Source organism: Homo sapiens, chromosome 5 (assembly GCF_000001405.40).
Source record: "Homo sapiens chromosome 5, GRCh38.p14 Primary Assembly".
Lineage (NCBI taxonomy): Eukaryota > Metazoa > Chordata > Mammalia > Primates > Hominidae > Homo > Homo sapiens.
The window spans coordinates 72389869-72399768 of record NC_000005.10 but is presented as its reverse complement, the minus strand read 5'-3'; the positions used below and the strand labels follow the sequence as shown (position 1 = coordinate 72399768).

The 9900-nt window shown below is 39.3% G+C and overlaps 1 annotated feature.

Moving 5' to 3' along the window:
• Positions 4883-4932: a silencer, noted in NCBI's record as "silent region_16080". NCBI's record gives its function as "represses an Ori minimal core promoter by ATAC-STARR-seq in GM12878 lymphoblastoid cells {active_cell/tissue: GM12878}" and the evidence as "EXISTENCE:reporter gene assay evidence [ECO:0000049][PMID:35858748]".

Sequence of the window (9900 nt, the reverse complement as noted above, 5' to 3'; positions counted from 1 at the left end):
CTGAGGATTGGAGGTGCAAACAGCTTGTTTTGCCACATTATTTCCCATCGCTTTACATGAAGCGATGTAAATCCCTTTTGCTACTTTGCCTTACATCTGCCCACTTGAAAAAATTCTTGCTCTGAATTCCTCCCTTCTAAGTCTTTGCTGCTTAAGAGTTGAGCACCCAACCAGTATTTTCTCTAGTCATCTCATAGTTGTTATCCCATAGAGAAAATACTGGTTGTGGATTTTTCAACAGATTTTAACCAGATTTCAACTTAACAATGCAACATATTCTAGTGGGAAAAGTGCTACAAAATAAGTTTTAAAATGACAAAGCAAGCCTTATATTTTCCCAAATATCATTTCCTTTATCTTCATAATTCCTATACTTTAAAAATCAAAATATGAAAACCTAGTTCAGTGAATAATAACTGCCTAACAACAATAACAAAAATAGCTTAACCCCATTTTGAAGAATTCATTCTTTTCTCTCCATTTTAGCACTTCCTAGTCAATCATCATCTATTAATTTTTTTCACACCACATTCAGAAACCGATAACACAGTTAGTGAACGTAAACATCTGTAGTCTACCTCTTTTACAGTTTTGTTCCTCATTTTTCTTCCCACTTCCCCTTAAGGAGGATTTTTCTCTCTTTCCTAAATGGGCTCAAACTCCTAATTCATCCTTTAAAAGCTTTTGCAGGATCTTATTTTCTCATGTACAATGCCTTTAGGGCTTTAATCCCAACACAAAGATCTTCAAAAATACAGCGGCTATTTTTGAAAGGAAAAAAGAAATTCTAAGAAGTCTGGTTGCAATTGTTAGACCGTTCTGCAAACAGTTATAACCATAAAGTAAAACAGAATAAATTTCACAGATGGTACTACTTCGTAAACATCAATGGTTCTCATTTTCTTAGCCAGACCCTCTAAATATCATCATCTTCTTCAATTATTAAAAAAAAGACAATGTACCATTGGGGTCATTCATGTCCCTTTTCTCACATCATGCCTTCTATTGTCTGCTTAATCTTTTCTTATTACCAGTGGGTTTCAGTCCATCCCACCATTCCTTTGCCTTTACACTAAATGGGTCATGACTGAGGGCTTAACATTCAGCACCCAGCAATCAAGGCCACCTCTCTTCATTCCCACTGTCAGCCATGGGTGACACTTGTCACCCTCTGGCTGAAGCCCTCCCTTCACATTCCCATGGTGTGTGAACCACATTCTGTCTCTACTTCTCCCTGGAAGTTTCAATTCTTAAAACTTGGTAATACTGAATCTTTTCTTAGTTTCCTCCCAAGTTGAATTCCTCTCTTTGGGTACATTTTTCTCTCAGAATTTAAAAAAAAAAAAAAAGAAAGAAAAGAAAACAGAAAAAACTTGTCTCATTCTTTTTGCTACCCATTCTATAAGCATATTTCTAGCTTTAAATCCATTTTATGTAGGTATGATTCCCTTCTGCCAATTTAAAATGGGCAAGACTAAAGCTAATTCTTTTTCTCCAACCTTCTTTTTGTATCTGTGAGAGGAAGAAAAAAAAAGAAGTCGGGACCCCAGTTCACTATGCCAAAGGCAAAAAATTAAGCTGAAAGCTGAGTCATACAAGAAACTGCCTTTCCTTCTCTTCCTAAGCAGATAGCTATAGATAAAAGGTTCCATATCTCCACAGGTAGCTACTCTGCCTTCATCCTATCTTATGTAAGGTGCCGATTTTCTGAGCACCAGAGGAATACGTAGTTGACTGTTCCCCTACCTGCTCCTTTTCTCTTGCAACAGGTGGATTAGCATACCCTCCCTCTTTCCCCTCCAGCCTGCTTTTCCCCTTTAAATATCGAAGCCCTCAAATTCATCTTTGGAGAAAGGCACAGACCGCCGACAGTTTCTGTGATTATGGGTTTTTTTTTTTTCTTCTGGGCATGTCCTTAACCTTGGCAAAATAAACTTCTAAATTGATTGAGATCTGTCTCAGATACTTTTTGGTTACATATCTTAAAAACATCTGAAGAAAATTTGTCCTGTTTATTCAATTTTTTATAAAAATATGCTTAATCAGTGGTTATTTCTGAGGTGTGAGAATTAGGTGGTTTTAGATAAGAATTGACAGGGGAATGGCATGCTTTTGCACTTCATTTTATATCTGTTTTTCTATTACTTGAAGTTTTTATAACAATAACATTATTTTTACAATGAAAAATCTTTCTTTTTCTGCATTTGTTTACTTGAAACAGGGTATTACCCTGTCGCCCAGGCTGAAGAGCAGTAGCATGATCATGGCTCACTGGCAGCCTCAACTTCTCCAGGCTCAGGTGGTCCTCCCACCTCAGCTTCCAGGGTACCTGGGACTAGAGGCACATGCCACCACACCCAACTGATTTTTTTTTCTTTTTTGTAGCGACGAGGGTCTCACCATGTTGTCCAGGCTGGTCATGAACTCCTGAACTCAGCAGATCCAGCCATCTTGGCCTGCCAAAGTGCTAGGATTACAGGTGTGAGCCACCGTGCCCAGTCCTTTCTTTTCCTTAAAAACACCTTTAAGTTATTCAGAAGGAAAAAAAAATTCTACCTAATGCTTTTTAAAACTCCTCTAAGATTATGATTATTAAGCTTTTTATCACTAAATAATTACTCGTTGAAAAGAAGAGAGGAACAGAGCTAGTGGGAAACTAAAGCTGGGGAAGTTTCAGGGAATTGTACCAAGCTGGTGTCCCTTGACTTGTTTTCAAGCTGTGAATGTATAACCACATTCTGTGAGCATCATGCTTTGAAGGCTGAGTATGGAGAAAGTTTACGTTATTTTGAAATAAAAATATTTAAGTAACTTTGATGCCTCTTTAGGAGCTTCTGATTCAAAACAAAAATCTGACTCAGTTTTTTTCTCTATACAATTTGATATATTCAGGGTTTTTTCAAAATCAGCACATGTTGCTGTAGTAATTAAACACACAAATATACACACGCAAATAAATACATGGAGAAGTGGAGGAAAGAGAAAGTCTCAAAGGACATACTGTAAAGTGTCAGCTTTGGCTAATGGAATTATAAGTAGTTTTTACTTTGTAGAAATACTGTATAACTTGCTACTGTGTGGGCTTTTTGCAGTTAGTATGGATTACAGAGATATACAATAAAACTCTTACTATCTCACACACAAAAAGACCTGCAGGCAAAGAGCCCTGCATCCATAACACAAGGGGCTTTCTGACAGGGGTGTCATTGCCTAGAATCAGGGTTCATTTATCTATTTTCTCCTTCCTTCTTTCCCTTAAGTTTGGCCTTGAGGAGGCACAAATGTTATTTACAGAAATACACTTTCATACAAAAACACACCACACACACACATCCCAAACAAAACTCCCATTCTTATTCTTCTGAGGTTGATAAATGTGATCAGGGTTCTTTTCGAATGCCTAACACTAAGGTGTGGTGGTGTTCATCAGGGTCCCACAGGAAGCCAGAGAGCAAAAGCCCTGATTGTTGCAATCCATACAGGACAAGCCTCCCAGGGCCAAGAGCAGCGCAGTCACCAGTGGAGAGGAAGAACAGAAAAATACCCAGCACGAGTGTGAATGTTGAAGTTACTTTAGTAGTTTTTATACAACATCGTATTCAACTATTGAAGCATATATTTTAGAACTCAGTCACAGCCATTTTATATGCCACAAATAAGTTGGCTTGGTGGGTCTAAGCTGGGGGCTAACAACCAGATTTGCAAGCCCAGAGAATGAGGGGAAAACTTCCAATCCCTGAAAATATTCTTTTCCATGACAATCTATTTAATTGTAATATTTGTGGTTAACAGGATTTCTCCAAGCCCAGGTGTACAGGTCCAGATCTATTTGCAAATATCCAGGTCTTTCCAAATTTAATTGCTATGTCTAACATTGCGATCTGAAAGCTACCCACCCCCAGTGTCACATTCCAAATTATCAGCTTTTTCTGGATTCCTATTTAAACGAGATTCTATCTGCAGAATTAAAACTTGTCCTCAGCATTTTTCACATGTGAGTTTTTTGTTTGTTTGTTTGTTTGTTTTTGAGACAGAGGTTTGCTCTTTGTTGCCCAGGCTGGAACCTCCGCCTCCCAGGTTCAAGCGATTCTCCTGTCTCAGTCTCCTGAGTAGCTGGGATTGCAGGCCCACCACCACACTCAGATAATTTTTGTATTTTTAGTAGAGACGGGGTTTCACCATGTTGGCCAGGCCGGTCTCAAACTCCTGACCTCAGGTGATCCACCCGCCTTGGCCTCCCAAAGTGCTGGGATTACAGGCATGAGCCACCATGCCCAGCCCACATGTGAATTTTTAAGTACTGGTATGTGTCTTAAGGCAGGAATTCTTTATTTTATTTTCTTACTTCATTCAAAATACTTTCCCTCTTAAAGAAATTTTTTGGGCAACTCCGTCTTATCAACCACCTTAAAATTTCTTCTGGAAAAACTCTTTCTGGCGCGTAAAGTCTTACTTCTATGAAGAGTTCTTCCTTGCGGTAGAATCATAAACAAGAAATAGTCTCAGAGGTTATCTCAACCAATGTCTTCAATTGCCTGATAAGAAAAATTCCTCATGCTTTTTTCTTGTTTTAATGATAGTGCTTAGATTTCAACAAAACTCTTCTGCTCTCATTTGTTCTCTGGTATCATTTATCTTTCAATTATTGTTTAAGATCTCCCACACCATTAATAACTTAAGATAAAAACAGAAATCTACAGAGTTTCTTTCTCTCTGAGAGCTTTTCCTGTATTCCACTCTCCGTGTTAGATGACTGATGAGCCTGGGATTCTTCCTCTTAATGTCTGGTTAGGTTTTCAGAGGAAATGTTGACTTTTGCCACGAATGGTGGCAATCTCTAATCTTCTGGGACCTCATGCTAGCACACTCTTGCCCCACCTAGAGGTGCTTTGGCCCAGAGCTTTTCTGCATCTTTGTGGTAGAGACCTCTGGGTTCCTACAGTGCAGTGGGCACATTCACAAGCAACTCCCCCAACCTCACCCCCACCTGATTCTGCTATAAAGAGGAATTATTGTCTGCATGTTAAAGGGGAAGAAACAATGACTGTGAGATCAAGTGTACTGACAGAATTTCACTAGTTGAGGCTATAGCTGGGATATAAGCCTGGGTTTTCTGACTCCAATTTATCTACATCGCTATTTTCTTTACCTATTGCTAGGCTTTTTTCTCCTCTCTTTTACACTCTACTAACCAGCCCCATCCTGTGCCACCAGAAAAGAGGTGAGTGAATAACAGGGAAGAAAGCACTGCCATTCCATCCTTGGACCATCTGGAGTTAAGAACTCCCCTCCTTAAACAATTAAGTCCTCTGTTTTTTCACTTATTGTCCCCAGAAAGAATCAATAATGTTATGTTGTTTGTTTTTTGAGATGGGTCCAACTGTTCTTCGAGACGGGGTCCAACTATGTTGCCCAGGGTGGTCTTGAACTCCCGAGCTCAAGCAATAACAACGTTAAGTTTTAACCACTTCTTCCCTTCCTGCTCGTCTGGATTGCTAATAACTGTTAATATTAATTTAATGTTAGGTTTAATGCAACATTTATCTCAGAATAACTTTCTTGCTGCGTTTTAGGGGTTTTTTCTCCCCTTCATTCAAATCAAGGTCATTTTTCTCCAATCTCAAAGCAATGTTAGAGACTGTGCCTATATGAAACTCCCTTATCACTATTTTTCTTCAGTAGAATACTTTTGAGCTGCTTTAGGGATATAGCAAAACAGAAAGAGAAGAATATATGTTCCCATGCACCCATTTATGGTAGAACCATTATACAAAAAAAGTCAGTCACAACGAAAGCATAATCCATAAAATATGAATGTTGATAAATTGGACTTCATCACAATCAAAAACTTTTGTACTTCAAAAGACCCCACTAAGTCAACAAAAAGACAAGTCGCAGGCTAGAAGAAAGTACTTGCAAATCATGTATCTAACAAAGGACCTGAATTTAGAACATATAAAGAACTCTTATAACTCGATATACAAGAAAACAAACAACACAATTTAAAAATGGACTAAACAAATATTTCACCAAGAAGATATAGGATTGTTTAACAAGCATATGAAAAGATGTTGGATGTCATTGCTCACTAGAGAAATGCAAAGTAAAACCACAATGAGTTACTACTCGATACACTAGGGTGACTAAAATAGAAAAGATGGACAATAAAGAGTGTTGGAGAGAATATGAAGCAATTGGAAAATTGCTGATGGGGATGGAAAATGGTACAGCTACTTTGGAAAATAGTTTGGTAGTTTCTGAAAAAAATAAACATAAACTCACCATACAAACCAGTAATTCCACTCTGAAGTGTCTATCCAAGAGAAATAAAATCAAGTATCTATACAAAGACTTGTAGGCAAATGTTCATTGCATGATTATTCATAAAAGCCAAACTTTATGCTAACTGAAAGGAGCCAGATGTACACATGAATACATATTGTATCTCATTTATATGAAATCTATAGAGACAGAAATTAGATTAGTGGTTTCCTGGGGCTGAGGGTGGAGTAGAGATTCACTGCAAATGGGCATGAGGCAATTCTTTGAGGCAATGAAAAAGTTGTAAAACTGGGTGGTAGTGATGGTTGCATAATTCTGCAAAAATAATACAATTGAAAACTTGAAACAGACAAATTTTATGGTGTGGAAATTAATCTCAGTTAGACAATTTCCTTAATTCAACATTGCTAAGTGCTTATCTTTAGCTTTATTGATTGGCGTTTGAACCTATGAGCCCACCTTAATTTGCTAGGCATTTACTCATTTCTGGGCAAACTAGCATCAGAGGAGAGGGTCAAAACACAGTACATTATCACCTGGTGCTATTTACCCCTGCATGAAAACTGAGCAACTTATACTCCATACAGACTTTTAAAAGTGTATGTTGATTTCCTTTAGCAGTGTACCAAATTTTGACAATGTTAGTCAATGTCTTCAAACTCTAATATCAAATAAACAAATACATTTGAAATGCTAACTCTTAAACTTTACCAGACTGGTCTTCTTGCCACTAAGAGGGCATTAACCTACTCTGGTTTCATGCTGATAGAAGGTCAAGAATGTTTGCCATCTGCCCTAACTCCGTTCAAACATCATGTGGCCTGCCTTAGAGCTGTACTATTTTAGTAACAAGAATTATCCACCTGGGAAAGAGGCCAGAGTAGCTGAAGAAACCAAACCAGAAGCTAACAGACAGAATCCCCTTGTTTGGCTTTAAGTACTTGTAATGAAATTAAACTTTCTTGTCAGACTATTTACACAAATGCCAGTTCCACACAGGTTATAACTGGACTCTGTGCTGCACAGCTTAGGCAGTTTACTCATCACCTACCAAATATGCTCTGCCATGTTAAGGTAAGAAGTTATATAACCCTTTTCTTGGCAAACATTTTAAGCAACAACAAAATAGCCATGAGCAACAGAGGAAATTAGGCTGTGATTCATTAAACAACTCCAACTTAAATGCTATGGTTTGCATGGGCTCGAGTCCTCACAAATATGAATTCCCCCTAAGTCTTGAGAGGTCATTTGTGCATTTGGAAATGGAAAGAAATCTGATAATAGATGTCTCCAAAAGTGCACCCAGTCAGCTGGCTCTTCCATTTTCCTTTGTTTTCATGATGGGCCAACCTGATTCCAGTTGGCATGCTCTGCCAGGTATAGTCATTTCTAAGGGGCCTGGAGTCACTCTATCTCCTTTAGGATATCTGAGTGTCTCTAGTATAAAACAAGATATATTGATTTGGAAGGCTAATTTATAATCAGTATGCTGAACAAGAACAATTCTTAGGATGTAATCATCAAGCAATTTTGTCTTCTGCCCCCATTGACTCTAAATTAACTCTTCAGACTAGTTCTTCTCCAGCTCCTGGAAGAAGTCTCAAACAATCTCATGCTATTTCTGGTCACTCTCTGGGAATAAAATATAACAAGTTTTGATCTCAATTCAGTAAGCAAAAATATTTGGCTTTATATAATCATTGAAACTCTAAACTCGGTTTAAGGCTAAAACACTTTCTCCCTCCCATTTGCAAGTTACCAGCAGACAGAGGAAGCGACTTAGCTTCTCACAGTCTGCTTTTGCTATCTTTATAAAATAACATAGACTGGGGGGCTTAAACAACAGAAATATATTTCTCACAATTCTAGAGGCTGGGAGTCCAAGATCAAGATGCTGGCCAATTTGGATCCCGGTAAGGGCTCTCTTCCTGGCTTACAGATGGCCACCTTCTTTCTGTGTCCTCATATGGTAGAGACAGCAAGCAAGCTCTCTGCTGTCTTTTAAGTACACTAATCCTATTAGATAAGGGCTTATGATATCATTTAACCTTAATTATTTCCATAAAAGCCTTACCTTTTAGAGATAACTCATTAGGAGTTGAGGCTTCAACATATAAATTCGGGGGGACACAATTAAGTGCATAACACTCATTTCCCTCACCTTTCATCTCCTCCTTCATTCTCTCTTGCACCCATAGTATCTGACCTTTGAAGTATGGGGAAAGAGGAGATTAAAGAAGGCAGGACCATTGATACTGTCTGGAGCTGGTGTGAGCCTTCAGCATCCTCCCCAGGCCTGGCAGGCAATAAACCCAATTCCTTTTCTTAGGGGAAATGTTTGGAAATGCTGTACTCTCTTCCTGTTCCATGCCACACCTCTTTCCTCACTCCTAAGAATTTCATGGCTGACCTCCAGCCTCTTCCTGGTGAAGCCCCTTCTCCTCTTCAGACAACCCACATGGACAGACATGAATCAACTCCACATCAGCTCTCTTTGGAATGTGGGCCATCAAGTACATCAGAAACCTTCATGCTTCCTTTTACTTTCTTCCTCTTGAATCTGAAGCTCTAGAAGAACAGGCCAATCATGATGCAGTGCCAAATTGCTTTGCTCCTGTAGTCAGAGTGTCTCTCATTTTCACACTCCCCAGGCAGGAGTCAGAATACATCCCACCCTAATGCCCAAACTGCAGAGGACACACTTCTAGCTTTCTGAGTAGTGTCCCTGAAGCTCTTCTTTTTTGACCTGAGGGAAGGAGAGACTCATTCCACTAAAATCATCCCCCCAGTTCTCTCTTCTGTAACAGATGTGACGAATTGGTCCTCAGCACCAATTCCAACCTATTTTCTTGGGTGCTTTCCTTCATTGCAAAATTGAAAACAATTATTTTCAGATTATTTTGAATTTAGGATTCTAAATGCAAATAACGTTCTGCCAATTGAAGGTACTTGAGGCCAGGCATGGTGGCTCATGCCTGTAATCCCAGCACTTTGGGAGGCCGAGCGGGTGCATCACCTGAGGTCAGGAGTTCAAGATCAGCCTGGCCAACATGATGAAACTTCGTTCCTACTAAAAATACAAAAAATTAGCCGGACGTGGTGGCGGGCGCCTATAAGCCTAGCTACTCGGTAGGCTGAGGCAGGAGAATTGCTTGAACCCGGGAGGCAGAGGTTGCAGTGAGCCAGGATAGAACCACTGCACTCCAGCTTGGGCAACAAGAGTGAAACTCTGTCTCGAGGAAAAAAAAAAAAAAAAGGGTACTTGAACAAGATTTGAAAGGCAGACAGGGTTGGAGTTGGGGAAGTGGGTGGTCTTCCCACTGCATGCAACCCAGGGGAGAAGAGAGTATTTTTCCGCATCTATGATCCAGGGTCCAGCTTTTGTTCTACCTTCAAGTAGCAGCCCCGCTTCCTTTTAACTTCTCCCCACCTCAAACATCTCAGTCACCTAAACAAAATGGATTTCCACTCCCAAATCCTAGTAAGCCACAGATTTCAGGACCTTGAGAGAAAAAATACAGTTAAATGGAAGTCTTGAGTTTTCTTTTCCTTTACTGTGTTCAAACCAAATTACGCCATTTTGTATAATTATTTCATTACCTAGAGAACAGGCCCAAA